This window comes from Homo sapiens, chromosome 9 (assembly GCF_000001405.40).
Source record: "Homo sapiens chromosome 9, GRCh38.p14 Primary Assembly".
Classification (NCBI taxonomy): Eukaryota; Metazoa; Chordata; class Mammalia; order Primates; family Hominidae; genus Homo; species Homo sapiens.
Window position 1 is genome coordinate 112,716,238 of NC_000009.12, and position 16,156 is coordinate 112,732,393.

Below are 16,156 nucleotides of genomic sequence, written 5' to 3' on the forward strand. Positions count from 1 at the left end.
AATTTTTGTATTTTAGTAGAGACGGGGTTCCTGACCTCAAGCAGTCCACCCGACTTGGCCTCCCAAAGTACTGGGATTACAGGCGTGAGCCACCGCTCCCGGCCTGCTATTCATTTTTTAAATTCTGGCTACAGTAACTGCCCTATGCTAAATTTTCTCTTATTCAAATACATTTACTATATTGGGGAAATGTTCATAGTAAAGAAATTCCTGCTGTCATTACCTTGTCCTGAAGAGTTTGCTGCCATTTTCCTATTTTGTTTCAAGTATGTCCAGTGGCAATTGGTCAGCACTTCACAATCACCTATAAAATATGTGTACACACATATACAATGCACCATATTTTAATCACAAACTAAAAGGAACAGCTAGCCTCCTTACAATGAAATGTTTGCTGTTTCTTAATCTCTTCAGAAAGATACATTTGTGCCGGGCGCGGTGGCTCACGCCTGTAATCCCAGCACTTTGGGAGGCCGAGGCGGGCGGATCACGAGGTCAGCAGATCGAGACCATCCTGGCTAACATGGTGAAACCCAGTCTCTACTAAAAATAAAATTAAAAAAAAAAATCAGCCGGGTGTGGTGGCAAGCGCCTGCAGTCCCAGCTACTCGGGAGGGCGAGACGGGAGAATCACTTGAACCCGGGTGGCGGAGGTTGCAGTGAGCCGAGATCGCGCCACTGCACTCCAGTTTGGGCCACAGAGCGAGACAGCGAGACTCGGTCTCAAAAAAAAAAAAAAAGAAAAGAAAGAAAGATACATTTGAAATGTACACAGACTGAAACAAATGTAAACTCTGCTAGTGCCTCAAGCATTTAATTAAATACGGCATTGTTTATTCTTGCAGATGTTCATACCATTTAGCATTACTGTCTTTAATAAACGTCATTAGGTTGTATTTACCAAATATATCAACCAATTGATAGAGTCAATATAATCATGGTGCTAGGAAGAAAAATCATTCATCTATGGTGTCTCTGCATTCGTCTAAAACACATACCCAAAAACTACTGTGTACACTGAAAGCTAAAAAAGGTAAAGGAGTACTGTATCTGCTCTGCACCATACACTGTGTAACATGCTCGAAATTAGTTCCTTTATTTATTTATCACCATTTTATAGATGAGGAAACCGTACCCAGGGTCATAGAGCTAGTAGGAATTATTTGGGCTGCTGGTTTCCAAACTTCGTGCTTTCGTACTAAATCCTGGGGAGATCCAAGATGAGCAAGACCCTAATCCTGCTTTCAGAAGGGAAAATAAAGTCTTATTCAAGCAACCATACTATTAATTAAAAAAAAAAAAAGCTTAACAAACCCGCTCTTTAAAAGGTGGGCACAGTGCCGGAGGCAAAGAATTGATTTCATTGGCAGCAAAGAGTGATGCCTTAGTCTAGGGAGCCCGGGAAAGACACAAGGGATAGAAAACAGACACCGGTTTTTAGTAAATGAATCGTTAGGTGTCTCCAGCGGCTGAAACACAGAGCGAGCAATGCGGGGTTAGGACTGGAGGACAACAGGGCCATCTTGTGACAGGGTAGACTGGCGTGCCAGAAAGGTCCCTGCCTACGGATGTGCAGAGCCGGCTGGGCCCGGGCTGTGAACGAGACGAAGGAAGCAAGTAGGAGCCAGAAATGTTAGGTGGCAAGGTCGGAAGGGAGGTCGCTGCCTGTAGCAACAAAGACGGCGGCGACAGGTTAGCACCGGAGCCACACTTTTCTATTGCCCGGTGCCTCCAGACTGTCGTACTTACCTGGGACCCGAGGACACCGGGACCGCCTCTCCTTACAATCGCTGCTCTTAAAGGGGGCGCGACCACTTAGGCAAGAGGAGCTCAACTCGCGGCACTACAACCTTCCCGCCCCCGCTGCGCTTCCGCCTCCTGACTGACGTGCGCCCCAGGGAGCGGAAACCCCGCCTCCCGCCGGGACCCAACGGCCACCGCCCGTCGTGATTCGCACTTTAGCGGCCACCTCAGTGCAGACGTCACTTTTTTTTCCAAAGAGTGACAGTCGAAGAGGCTCACGGGAGATGCAAACGGTACTTTTGGGGGCTGGGCCAGGGTGGGGCGTGGCCCGGGGCGGGGGAGGGGCGGGGCTGCCAGGCAGGGGCGGGACGGAGAACACCTGGGTCCCTAGCACCAAGACTGGCTTTTTATTCATTGCCACCGCCTGGCCGGTCTTGCGACGGTGCGAGTCCACCTCGGCTGGGCCTCGGAGGAGGGGCGACTCTAGAAGCTAAACTCGCTTTCGAGCTTTAACAACCATCTCGGATTGCGCATCCGCACACACACACACACACACACACACACACACACAAATTCAGGAATATTTTTTGTCTACAGTTTACATAATTATACACAATGAAAGCACTGAATATGGAGGATTTTTATTACAGTGCAATAATCTGCATTTAAGAAGTGGATGTGCCACATCGCAGAACACCAAGTTGCCACTAGTGGGATCACCTGCTGCCCACCTGATTCCAGCACAGTAGATAGCTACACATTTGAATTAAAAGGTAATCGTATATTGACATGTGTTCAAATTGCACTCTTTTTAATTTAAAAAAATATTTTTTATGGTGACAGTGTCTCGCTTTGTTGCCCAGGCTGGTCTTGAACTCCTGGCCTCAAGGGATCTGCCCACCTCAGCCTCCCAAAGTGCTGGGATTACAGGCGTGAGCCACCTGCCCTGCTTAAAATTGCAGTGTCTTAATCTCTTCCGAAAGATACATTTGAAAAACGCACAGACTTAAATCACAAATGTAAGCTCCCCAAGCGCCTCAAGCATTTAATTAAATAGAATGGATAATGAATTTGAACATATGTTTTTAATAATTGATGTTTGCTCAAGAGTAAAATGTTTATGATGCACAATTTTCTTGTGCATGGATCAATGACTGAAATAATCGTTTCAATATCAAGTATTTATTTACTGAAAACCAAGCATGTATTTACTCTATACCAAGCAGCTATTGAGTGCCTTCTACAATGCGAGGTGCTTCCTGTGCATCAGCTCTGGTCCTGCTGTTCCCTGATTTATATTTGAGACTCATGTTTCTTGCTCTATGTCAAGTAGCGAGCTAAGATTCAAATTTAAAGATCTGCCAGATGCTAAGGCCTGAGTTCTTAAATCTCACACATTGCCTCTGCTCTGGAGGAATGAATTCCTCTGAGACCAGTTCTTGCTGACTTGACTTTAATCCAGATATAAAGCCTAACACATGAGCATTTTGATGGTAGGCCAGGAGTCCTTTCAGTTAAGAGGACTTGGTGAGTTCTAGTATGACTAAAAAGATGACTGAGATCTATATGGCTGATAGAACCTTAGAATTTTTTTTTGTTTTGTGGCCTAGCTAATATAGAAACTAGGGCACAGAAAGTTCCAGTCTAAGTTTCAAATGGACATTCTGAACAAAGCTTATTTAAGGAGGTGGGAGTAAAAACAGTTCTAACCCTAAACAACATTTTATAATTTCTTAGCAAATTCAGCCTCTGAGAGTTGAAAGAACATTATCAGGAGAAAGATAAATTTAACTTGCTGCCAATTCTTTTGCCTTTTACTTGGTAGGTCATAGCCCTTGAAACCCTTCTGTCTTCTCCTAGAGTTTTTGGAACTTCTGCCTCATTGTGTTAACCTCTAACACAGTGGTTAATAGTGAGTCAGTTTACTTGAATGCAAATTCGAGCTTTGCCACTTAATGATGGTGAGCCCTGGTTTAACCTTTTGGTGCCTCTGTTTTGTCATCTATAAAATGGGAATAAAAATAAGTGATTGGGTATACGTAAATCACTTAGAATAGCACCTGGCACATAATAAGAACTCAATAAATGTTGACTATTAGAATATAAACAATGAACAATCTGTTTTACTGGGTGTCTTGGCAAGTGGTCAGTAGATCAGCTGAGCCTGGGTGTGGTGGCTCATGCCTGTAATCACAGCACTTTGGGAGGCCAAGGCAGGAGGATTGCTTGAGACCAGCCTGGGCAATATAGTGAGACCTCATCTCTAGAAAAAAATCTAAAAAATTTGCCAGGTACGGTGGTGGGTGCCTGTGGTCCCAGCTACTTAGGAGGCTGAGGTAGGAGGATTGCTTGAGCCCGGGAGGTCAAGGCTACAGTGAGCTATGATTGCGCCACTGCAGTCCAGCCAGGGCAACAGAGCAATAGACCCTGTCTCCAAAAAAAAAAAAAAAAAAAAGAAAAAGAAAAAAAAAAAAGAAAAAAAACGTCAGCTGAGAAATATACTAGGGGAAAGTCCAAGACAGAAGGAGTGCATGTTATAGCCCCTTGGCTCTATTAACTGATAGCTGTCTGTGAATTACTTTATCCTGAAACCACTGTGGTTACAGACCTTCAGTATCAAGGTAGAGTTGACAGTAGTTCCTAATTTCCAACTGAAACCACTCTAACCTCCTTTTCTGGTATTTTGTGATAAAGTATTTGGGGATCTGCATGAGGCTAGACAACCTTTAAAATCAAGTGTGTAGCAGTTTGAGACAATTACTGTATTAGTTATCTATTGCTGTGTAACAAATTACCCTGAATCTTGGCAGTTTAGAACTTGGGTTTAGAACCTGGCCCTGCACTTACTGGGTGAACACTTAGACAAGTTATTTGTCTGTTCCTCAACCTCCTTATCTGTGGAAAGGGGTATTAAAAGCACCTACCTTATGCCATTGTTTTAAAGATTAAATAAAATCAAACCAGATGCCTCATACCTATAAGCTATTATTTTCTATTAAACATTAACTCATTAGAGTATTAAAACAATATGAAACATCATGAAGATTTTGTACAACCAAATGTGGTGGCCTCCAAGATGGCCCTCCTGTTGTCATCCCTTCCCACATTGAATAAACTTGACCCAAGTAACCAATGGGATATTGTGGAAGTGTCAGTATGTGACACTGATTGCAGTTGCTACCTTGGCCTCTTTTGGGTCACTTGCTCTAAGGAAGCCATGTATATGTCATGAGGTCACTAAAGCAGTCCATTTGGAGAGCCCAATAAAGAGGAACTGAGGCAAGCCTTCCACCAACAAACCAGCACCAAGTTGCCAGTCAAGTAGTGTTCCACCTTGGAAGTGGATCTTCCAGCCCCAGGCAGGCCTTCAGATGACTGCAGCTCTGGCTGACATCTTGATTGCAGCCTCGAAAGCAATCCTGAGCCAGAACCACCGAGCTAAGCTGTTCACAAATTTCTAATCCACAGAAACTATGTAGGATAGTAAATATGGCTTGTTTGTAGTTGTTTTTGTTGGTTTTTGAGACAGAGTCTCACTCTGTCACCCAGGCTGGAGTGCAGTAGTGTGGTCTTGGCTCACTGCAACCTCTGCCTCCGGGTTCAAGCGATTCTCCCGCCTCAGCCTCCCAAGTAGCTGCGACTACAGGCACATGCCACCACACCCAGCTAATTTTTGCATTTTTAGTAGAAACGGGGTTTCACTATGTTGGCTAGGCTGATCTCGAACTCCTGACCTCGTGACCTGCCCACCTTGGCCCGGCAAAGTGCTGGGATTACAGGTGTGAAGCACCGCGCCCGTCCAGACTAGCCTTTTTAAAAATAAACATTCAAGAATGTTCTAAAATAGGCCGGGCACGGTGACTCACACCTGTAATCCCAGCACTTTGGGAGGCTGAGGCAAGCAAATCACCTGAGGTCGGGAGTTCGAGACCAGCCTGACCAACATGGAGAAACCCCATCTCTACTAAAAATGCAAAATTAGCCAGGCGTGGTGACACATACCCGTAACCCAGCTACTCAGGAGTCTGAGGCAGGAGAATTGCTTGAACCCAGGAGTCGGAGGTTTCGGTGAGCCAAGATTGCACCATTGTACTCCAGCCTGGGCAACAAGAGGGAAACTCTTGTCTCAAAAAAAAAAAAAAGTTCTAAAATAAAATGTAAAAAACACCACAATGCCTTTTACCCCTCTCTGTACCACTACCTTCTATGCAGAAGATTTCTGACCATTATTAGCCTTGGAGGATTATCTAATTAAGGGAGATGGTAGGATTCATTTAGAATGAATTCTCCACATGGGCAATGATATTATCTAGAATGATAAGAAGAAAGACTGAGCCAGGGGCCAAAGTCCTCCATGAATATGTCAGTAGATGACAGCAATGAGAAGAGGATAAAGATGGTATAACCAGATGTACCTGCTTCTAAAGATTTGGAGTTTTTACATGATGGAGGAAGATGTATAGTTTGGAATTGAGAGTGTGGATTCTGGAAATACTGAAGCACCCTTCCCCTAACCCCATGCCATGATGTATGTGGTTGGACACAAGAGGATTTTCCACCTTACATGAACACAAGGGAAGCTATCCTTGAAGGAGAAGTGGGTTTTAGTTAAATCAGGAGGTAGACAGATGGTCTAATGGTACAGTGAAGAGGAACTTACTTATCATGGAAGGAAGACTTCTAGCAACTTTGGGGGAATGTTGTTTTGAGGCTGAGGGGGGTGGATCACTTGAGGCCAGGAGTTCGAGACCAGCCTGGATAACATGGCGAAACCCCATCTCTACTAAAAATACAAAAATTATCCGGGTGTGGTGGTGTATGCCTGTGGTCCCAGCTACTTGGGAGGCTGAGGCACGAGAATTGATGGAACTCAGGAGGCAAAGGTTGCAGTGAGCTGATATTGCACCACTGGACTCCAGCCTGAGCAACAGAGTGAGACTCTGTCTCAAAATAAATAAATAAATAAATAAATAAATAAATAAATAAATTAAATTAAATTAAATTAAATAAAAAGTAAGGGTTTTCGCTGGGTACAGTGGCTAACACCTGTAATCCCTGGGAGGCTGAGATGAAAAGATCCCTTGAAGCCAGGAGTTCAGGACCAGCCTAGGCAACAAGGCAAGATCCTGTCTCTACAAAATGTTAAAAATATGTTTAAAGATTAAAAAAAGAGAAAAGAAAAGTATTTTATTTTGCCACTGTTTTTTTTTTTCATTAAATAGATTGGGACTGGGCACAGCGGTTCACGCCTATAATCCCAATGCTTTAGGAGACCAAGGTGGGAGGATCACTTGAGACCAGGAGTTCAATACTTAGCCTACTCAACACAGCGAGAACATGTCTCTACAAAAACTAAAAAAATAGCTGGGTATGGTGGCGGGGGCCTGTCATCCCATCTGTGCTAGAGAGGCTGAGGTGGGAGGATAGCTTGGGCCCAGGAATTCAAGGCTGCAATGAGCTATGTTTGTGCCAATGCACTCCAGCCCAGGTGACAGAGCAAAACCGCAACTCATAAATAAATGAATATTAATAATAAATAAATAAGTAAATAGATCAAACCCTAGTGTTTTCAATGAACTATGAAAAGGACTCACTAAACTGCACTAAGCTGCTTGTGGAAAATGGCTGCAGGAGTGAAGTGTAATCCTTTATGTCATCTACTTCTAATTTGGTCACTTCTAAGGGACCAGGTTGCCAATAATGTTTTAGTATCCTCAAAGTACCTAGAAGAGTGCTAAGCAGGTATACCTGATGATTGGTCTTTAATGTAAACCTAATTAAAGCTGAAATGTGCCCTTTCATTCATTTATTCAATAAACAATGCTATGTCAGGCACTGAAAATACAAACAAAATGATCTGTCCTTGTCTAGGGGATGCTTTGGATTGTGCAGGCCAGAATCCCACTTTTGCTTTTTCACTGCTTTAAAAGCTGATCTAGGCCGGGCACAGTGGCTCACACCTGTAATCCCAGCACTTTGGGAGGCTGAGGCAGGTGGATCACCTGAGGTCAGGAGTTCAAGACCAGCCTGGCCAACATGGTGAAACCCTGTCTCTACTAAAAATACAAAAATTAGCTGGACGTGGTGGTGCGTACCTGTTGTCCCAGCTACTCGGACGGCTGAGGTGGGAGAATCGCTTGAACACAGGAGGTGGAGGTTGCATTCAGCCAAGATCACGCCACTACACTCCAGCCTGGCGACACAACGAGACTCCGTATCAAAAATAAAAAGCTGATCTAATCTTTTAGTCAAGTAATGCATTGTGGGTTCCCACTGTGTCTTAATCTGTTTTGTGCTGCTATAACAGTATAGCCAAGACTGCCTAATTTTATAAAGAACAGAAATTTATTTCTCATGGTCTGGAGGCTGGAAGTACAAGATCAAGATGCCAGCATCTGGCAAGAGCTTTCTTTCTTGCTGCATCCTCGTGGCAGAAGGACAAGAAGGAATGAAACTGTGTACTCATATAGCAGAAGAGCAGAAGAGAGCAAGGGCTTGCTCCCAGAAGCCTTTTTTTTTTTTTTTTTTTTTTTTTGACGGAGTCTTGCTCTGTCGCCAGGCTGGAGTGCAGTGGCGCGATCTCAGCTCACTGCAATCTCTGCCTCCTGGGTTCAAGCAATTCTCCTGCCTCGGCCTCCCGAGTAGCTGGGATTATAGGCTGGCACCACCACACCCAGCTAATTTTTTTGTATTTTTAGTACAGATTGTGTTTCACTGTGTTGGCCAAGATGGCCTCGATCTCCTGACCTTGTGATCCGCCTGCCTCAGCCTCTCAAAAGTGCTGGGATTACAGGAGTGAGCCACCACGCCTGGCCCACAAGCCATTTTTATAATGGCATTCATCCATTCACTACCACATCTGGCTAAATTCTGTATTTTTAGTAGAGAAGGGGTTTCACCATGTTGGCCAGGCTGGTCTCAAACTCCTGACCTCACATGATCTGCCCACCTCGGCCTCCCAAAGTGCTGGGATTACAGGCATGAGCCACCACGCCTAGCCGGGATTCAGTTTTAACATGAATTTTTGGAGGGAATGAAAACATTCATACCATAGCATTCTTCCCCTGATCCCCCATAATTCATGTCCTTCTCACATACAAAATACATTTATTCCATCCCAGTAGCCCCAAGTCATAACTCATTCCAGCGCTAACCCAAAAGTTTAAGTCCAGAGTCTCGGCTGGGTGCGGTGGCTCATGCCTGTAATCCCATCACTTTGAGAGGCCATGGCAGGTGGATTATCTGAGGTGGGGACTTCGAGACCCGCCCGCCTAACATGGAGAAACCCCGTGTCTACTAAAAATACAAAATTAGCCGGGCGTGGTGGTGCATGGCTGTAATCCCAGTTACTAGGGAGGCTGAGGCAGGAAAATCGCTTGAACCCGGGAGGTGGAGGTTGCGGTGAGCCGAGATCGTGCCATTGCACTCCGGCCTGGGCAACAAGAGCAAAATTCCATCTAAAAATAAAATGAAATAAAATAAAATCCGGAGTCTCACCTAAATCACATATGGGTGAGACTCAAAGTATAATTCATCTTGAGGTAAATTTCCCTCCAGCTGTGATCCTGTGAAATCAAACAAGTTATTTACTTCCAAAATATGATGATGGAACAGATAATAGGATAGACATTCCCTTCCCAAAAGGGAGAAATAGGAAAGAAGAAAAGATCAACAGGCCCCAAGTAAGTCCAAAACCCAACAGGGCAAACAACATTAAATCTTAAGGCTTGGGAATAATCTTTGTTGACACCATGTCCCACCACCTGGACACACTGGAGTGGGGTTTGGGTGCCCAAGGCCCTGGGCAGGCCTGCCCCCATGGCTTTCCTGGGCACAGCCCATGCTTCAGCCCTTATGCATTGAAATAGCATGCCTGTGGCTCTCACAGGCTGACACTGCATACTAGTGGCTCTACAGTTCTGGGGTCTTGGGGTGGCCTCACTCCCACTAGGCATTGCCCTAGTGGGTACTCTCTGCCACATGGCTTCCAGCATGGCTCTGCTGCTGGGGCAGGTGTCTGCCTGGGTCCCTGGGCTCTCTAAGGCAGCCTTTGAAATCAGGATGAAGGAAGCCCTGCCACCACAGTTCTTGCACTCTGCACTCCTGTACAATTAGCACCACGTGGACACCAGCAAGGCTTACTGCTTGAGTGGCCTGGAGCAGTGGCCTGAGCCACACCTGGGCCCACTTGAGCTACAGCTGGGGCAGCAAAAAGTACTGCATCTGAAACTCTGCACAGTGAGCCTTCAGCCCGTATGGGTTCCCCAGGCCTTCTCCCCAAACTCTTCGGCCCTCAGTGTCCTAGCACTCTGGGCTTATGGTGGGAGGAGCAGCCTAAAAATTATCAGCAATGCTTTCAGGGTGATTCTCCCATTGTCTTGATGAATAGCACCTGGCTCCTTTCTGTTCCTACTAATCTTGTTACCAAAGGTAGCTTGGCCACATCCTTGGTTTTTTTTCTCCTAAATATATTTTTTTATTCTTTACTTGGCCAGGCTGAGAATTTTCCCTATCTTTATATTATACTTCCCTTTTGATGATAAATTCCATTTTTAAATTGTTTCTGTCTTCTTGCATTTTACTATAAACAGTTAAGAGAAGCCACACAGCACCCTGAAATGAATGCTCTGCTGCATAGATATTTCTTCTGCCAAATATTGTAGTTCATCACTTCCTTTTTTGTTTTTGAGATGGAGTTTCACTCTTGTTGCCCAGGCTGGAGTGCAATGGTGTTATCTCGGCTCACTGCAACCTCTGCCTCCGAGGTTCAAGCGATTCTCCTGCTTCAGCCTCCCAAGTAGCTGCGATTATAGGTGCCCACCACCATGCCCAGCTAATTTTTGAATTTTTAGTAGAGAAGGGGTTTCACCATGTTGGCCGGGCTGGTCTCGAACTCCTGACCTCAGTTGATCCACCTGCCTTGGCCTCCCAAAGTGCTGGGATTACAGGTGTGAGCTACCATGCCTGGCCTCATCACTCTTAAGTTCTGCCTTCCATGAAGTCCTGGGACACAAATATAATTCAGCCAAGTTCTTTGCCGTGTTGTAACAAGGATGACCTTTCCTCCAGTTTCCAATACTTTGTTCCTCATTTCCATCTGAGACTTCATCTGAGTGGCCTTCACATCCGTATTTTTACCAACGTTCTGTTCACAACAACTTAAATAATATTTTATAAGATTCAGACTCTCCTACAGCTCTCCCCTTCTTCTAAACCCTCACCAGAGTCACTCTTAAGGCTCTGTTCATGGCAATACAAGCTTTTTCTTCAGCATTCACTTCAAAACTGTTGAAAGCCACTTCCACATTTTTAGGTCTTTGTTACAGCAACACCTCACTCCTCTGGTATCAATTTCTGCCTTAGTCCATTTTGTGCTGCTATAACAGAATATCTGAGACTAGGTAATTTATTATTATTTTTTTTTAGACTGTGTCTCACTCTGTTGCTCAGGCCAGAGTGCAGTGGCACAATCTTGGCTCACTGCAACCTCCGCCTCCCAGGTTCAAGGGATTCTCATGCCTCAGCCTCCCAAGCAGCTAGGACAATAGGCGTGTGCCACTACACCCAGCTAATTTTTTAATATTTTTAGTAGACACAGGGTTTCCCGGTGTTGGCCAGACTGGCCTCAAACTCCTGGCCTCAAGTGATCCACCCACCTTGGCCTCCCAAAGTCCTGGGATTACAGGCGTGAGCCACCGCGCCCGGCCGGGATTGGGTAATTTATTAGGAAGAGAAGTTTCTTTCTCACAGTCTGGAGGCTGGGAAGTTCAAAATCAGGGCACCAGCATCTGGTGTTGAGGGAGGGCCTTCCTGCTGTTAACTCATGTAGGAGAAGAGCAGAAGAGAGTAAACCCATTCCCACAAGCCCCTTTATATAGTGGCATTAATTCGTTCATGACGGCAGAGCACCTGTGACCTAAACATCTCCCATTAGGCCCCACCTCCTAACACTGTTACATTGGGGACTAAGTCTCAACATGAACTTTTGGAGGGGACAAAAACATTCAAACCATAGCACACTGTGCAGCTAATATGCCCTTTAGCATTACTGATCTATCAAAGTGTTTGGTCTTCTGAAACTGTTGCACCGGCATTGTTAACAGTTCTTCTACGACTGGGCGTGGTGGCTCACACCTGTAATTCCAGCACTTTGGTGAGGCTGAGGCTGGCAGATCGCCTGAGGTCGGGAGTTCAAGACCAGCCTGACCAACATGGAGAAACCCCATCTCTACTAAAAATACAAAATTAGCCAGGCATGGTGGTGCATGCCTGTAATCCCAGCTACTCGAAAGGCTGAGGCTGGAGAATCGCTTGAACCTGGGAGGCGGAGGTTGTGGTGAGCTGAGATCGCACCATTGCACTCCAGCCTGGGCAACAAGAGTGAAACTCCATATCAAAAAGCAAACAGAAAAAACCAAACAAACAAACAAAAAAAACAGTTCTTCTAGGCTTGCTGCCATTTATAAATTTAACAAATTTGCTAAAAGGCTCTTATTTAAGATTAATGACAAAATATCAGCCCTATGCTGCATGTTCCAAATCCCTGAGCATTCTTGAAGTTCCTCGATAGTTAATCAGTATCTTTTATTTAATACCCTTGAGCTAATTTTATTCAACCTGAACCTTAGGAAAGGACTGCGTACCTATGGTGACTAAAACTAAAGGTACTTGTGGCCAGGTCCTAATCCCTGGAACCTGTCATTATTACCTTATATGGAAAAAGCATCTTTGCACATGTGATTAAATTAGAGGTCTTGAGATAGGGAGATGATCCTGGATTATCCAGGTGGGCCCTCACTGCAATCATAAGTGCACAGGTGTCTTTTTTTTTTTTTTTTTGGAGACAGAGTCTTGCTCTGTCACCCAGGCTGAAGTGCAGTGGTGCGAACTTGGCACACTGCAACCTCCACCTCCCAGGTTCAAGTGATTCTCCTGTTTCAGCCTCCCGAGTACGAGTAGCTGGGATTACAGGCACTGGCCACCACGCCCAGCTAATTTTTGTATTTTTAGTAGTGACAGGGTTTCACCACGTTGGCCAGGCTGGTCTCAAACTGGTGACCTCAAGCGATTCTTCTACCTCAGCCTCTGAAAATGCTGGGATTTACAGGCATGAGCCATTGCGCCTGGCCACAAATGTCTGTACAAGAGAGAAGAGAGGGAGATTTGACATAGGAGAAGGCAACGTGACCACAGAGGCAGAGATTAGAGTGATGTAGCTACAAACCAAGGGATGCTGGCAGCTGTCAGAAGCTTGAAGAAGCAAGGAAGGGACGCTGTCCTAGAGCCTCTGGAGAAAGTGTGGCCCTGCTGACACTTTGATTTTGGCTTATGAAATTGGTTTGGACTTCTGGCCTCCAGAATAGTGAAAGGATAAATTTCTGTTGTTTTAAGGCACCAAGTTTATGGTAATTCATTACAGTGCCTGTAGCTCAGAGCACATTAATTTTTTTTTCTTTTTTTTTTTGAGATAGAGTCTTGTTCTGTCACCCAGGCAGGAGTGCCGTGGTGCAATCCCAGCTCACTGCAGCCTCCACCTCCCAGACTCAAGCTATCCTCCCATTCAGCTTCCAGAGTAGCTAGGATTACAGGCGTGTGCCAACACGCCTGGCTAATTTTTGTATTTTTTGTAGAGACAGAGTTTTGCTATGTTGCCCAGGCTGGTCTAGAACTCCTGGACTCAAGCGATCCACCTACCTTGGCCTCCCAAATTGCTAGGATTACAGGCATGAGCCACCATGCCTGGCAACATGTGAAAGTCTTTGAGAAACAAATGTTGGAATGACTTTTTTTTTAATTGGGGTTGCATTTTAATGAAATATTTCAGACTTATAAAAATACATAGCTAGCAATATAATAGACACCCTTGAACATACTGCCTAGCCTAAGAAATAAAACATTCCAAATCCATTGGAATCCTCCTGGACATCATTTCTCCATTGTGTTCCTCTCCCTCCACCTGGGAGGTAACCACTTCGCTGAATTTAGTTTTCATTGTTCCAATACATATCTTTACATTTGTACTACATTTGGCTGGGTGCAGTGCCTCATACCTGTATTCCCAGCACTTTGGGAGGCCGAGGCAGACAGATCACTTGAAGTCGGGAGTTTGAGACCAGCCTGGCCAACATGGCAAAACCTCGTTTCTACTAAAAATACAAAAAACTAGTCAGGCATGGTGGCAGACGCCTGTAATCCCAGCTACTTGGGGGTTGTGGCAGAAGAATCGCTTGAACCCAGGAGGCAGAGGTTGTAGTGAGCCGAGATCGTGCCACTGCACTACTGCACTCCAACCTGGGCAACAGAGTGAGACCCTGTCTCAAAAAAAAAAAAGAAAAATTTGTACTACATTAAATCCCTTAAAATTACATTGTTGTAAATGTTTTAAAACTTTATAAAAATGCTGACATAATATATACATATAAATACTATATACATATATACACCATATATATATATATATAGAGAGAGAGAGAGCTATTTATCTATCTATATATATATACATAGTCATCTCTTGGTACATGTGGGAGATTGATTCAAGGAGCCTCTCGTATACCAAAATCCGAGTATATTCAAGTCTGTTAGTCAGCCCTGAAGAACTCACGTATAGAAGTCAGCCCTCTGTATATACACGCGGGTTTTGCATACTATGAACACTGTAGCATCAATCTGCAGTTGGTTGTAAAACAATCCCTGTATAAGTGGACTTACATGGTTCAAGCCCATGATGTTCAAGGGTCAACCGTATATCCTTTTGCAATTTGCTTTCTTATTAAGGGCTTTCTACGTGCAAGGCACCATGTTGGGCAGTGTGGATGAAAAGACAAGTTAGATAACATTTTGCATTGACATTAGCTAATATTGCCTCTTAGAAGAGCTTAAAATGCAGTATTTTACAGGTATTTTCCCTTTATTTTTAAATTTTAAAAAAATCTTTAGTTTTGTATTGGGCAGCCCCTGAATCAGAATAGGTTCAGAGAGGCCCCCTCACCATTGTTGGAAAGGAAGCTTCCTGCTCAGTATCTACCTTCTAATACTTAAATGTGGGACTGTAGCTCTGAATTAATAACATGCTTGTCTCTCTTGCTGCCACTTATGTAGCTTCTTTTTAGTATGTAGTTCTCCTAGAACATTTTAAAAGAAATCATCTATTTTGATAAATTTTTTTATTTTATCTTTAATTTTTTTGGGACAGGGTCTCGCTGTGTCACCTAGTCTGGAATGCAGTGGTGCAATCTTGGCTCTCTGCAGCCTCCGCCTTCTGGGTTCAAGCGATTCTTCTGCTTCAGCCTCCCTAGTAGCTGGGATTACAGGTATGCAACACCACGTCCAGCTAGTTTTTGTATTTGTTAGTAGAGATGGAATTTCACCATGTTGGCCAAGCTGGTCTTGAACTCTCAACCTCAGGTGATCTGCCTGCCTCAGCCTCCCAAAGGGCTGGGATTACAGGCGTGAGCCACCATGCCCGGCTTTATTTTGAGAAATCTTTTAGTAATTGGCAACAGAAATGATAAGTTTTGATCATCCATTTCTAACAGTTGTCAGTCAACACTAGTCCTGTGTCTGCATATGAAGATTATTCACCTTTATAAGATTTCCAAAATAAATATGATGATGTTTCTCAAAATTAAGAATTGTTTGGAATTTAGGTTTACAACTTAAACACAACCAAACCCACAAAACAGACACATTCTAGCTAATACATTTTATGTGACAATTGATGTTTTGGCAAATGCAATCGCTATTCACAGTGTAAAGAGGATGCCCTTAGCGACGGCATGCATTTCTTTGGGTTTGCTTGCCTATATCACTGCATGCCCCATGGTACCTCAGTTCTCCCACCAGATTCCTCTATTCAAAAGATTATAAACTCTTCATTTATATAGCACAGTATGAAGTCATTTGGGCTTCATTAGGCTCAGTATTGCCCATAGACCTAAGCAAACAGGAGGGACTCTTGCCGCCACATTTTAGAGGATCCAGTACACACACGCGAGCACATAAATTTGTTAAAGGACAGATGAGAACTTCTGTGCTTGGGATCTGGCATTTGGCTCTGGCACAGAACAACCTGGAACTTTGAACGTCTGCTTCTGTGACTAACACCATTTATACCCTGTGGAAACACCTCTTGCCCTGTGTTCTTGAAAGAAAGGCGGCTGGGTTGGACTGCTGTGAAGGTTTACGAGTTATGCCTCTGTCGAGGTCAGAAATGGACAGTGCATTTTAGTGCCGGGAATTGTTGAGCAGCAGAACTTAGGTAAGAGAAAAGGCAAATTATTAACTTCCAAATACCTCCTCTCAGATCAGAGGAATTCAGTGGAATTGTGCACAACCGAGAATTGTTTCCCTTTAGTGAGAGTCCATTTTCCTGTTTTCCTTATTCTCATTTGTGATTCTGGAGCTCGTCAGAATT

At 44.3% G+C, this 16,156-nt stretch overlaps 1 protein-coding gene across 10 annotated transcripts in view, besides 4 other annotated features; it reads right to left on the bottom strand.

Annotated features, from left to right (window-relative positions):
• The window catches only part of INIP (INTS3 and NABP interacting protein), a 34,192-nt gene extending 32,312 nt beyond the window's left edge, over window positions 1–1,880 (bottom strand). For 7 of the 10 annotated variants that reach the window (NR_138054.2, NR_138055.2, NM_001329587.2 and 4 more), the window contains exons 1-2: window positions 1,750–1,880; window positions 224–304 (exon numbers count right to left, since the gene is read on the bottom strand). Coding sequence is in view for 3 of the 10 variants with exons in the window: in NM_001329587.2 (NP_001316516.1) it covers window positions 224–248 (25 nt within the window). In the remaining 7 variants the exon portion in view is untranslated. The remainder of the gene's footprint in view (window positions 1–223; window positions 305–1,749) is intronic. The other 3 variants (NR_138056.2, NM_001329589.2, NM_001329590.2) reach the window with 1 other exon arrangement.
• Window positions 1,462–1,561: an enhancer, noted in NCBI's record as "active region_28826". NCBI's record gives its function as "activates an Ori minimal core promoter by ATAC-STARR-seq in GM12878 lymphoblastoid cells {active_cell/tissue: GM12878}" and the evidence as "EXISTENCE:reporter gene assay evidence [ECO:0000049][PMID:35858748]".
• Window positions 1,932–2,091: a silencer, noted in NCBI's record as "silent region_20194". NCBI's record gives its function as "represses an Ori minimal core promoter by ATAC-STARR-seq in GM12878 lymphoblastoid cells {active_cell/tissue: GM12878}" and the evidence as "EXISTENCE:reporter gene assay evidence [ECO:0000049][PMID:35858748]".
• Window positions 9,536–9,675: an enhancer, noted in NCBI's record as "active region_28827". NCBI's record gives its function as "activates an Ori minimal core promoter by ATAC-STARR-seq in GM12878 lymphoblastoid cells {active_cell/tissue: GM12878}" and the evidence as "EXISTENCE:reporter gene assay evidence [ECO:0000049][PMID:35858748]".
• Window positions 10,286–10,335: an enhancer, noted in NCBI's record as "active region_28828". NCBI's record gives its function as "activates an Ori minimal core promoter by ATAC-STARR-seq in GM12878 lymphoblastoid cells {active_cell/tissue: GM12878}" and the evidence as "EXISTENCE:reporter gene assay evidence [ECO:0000049][PMID:35858748]".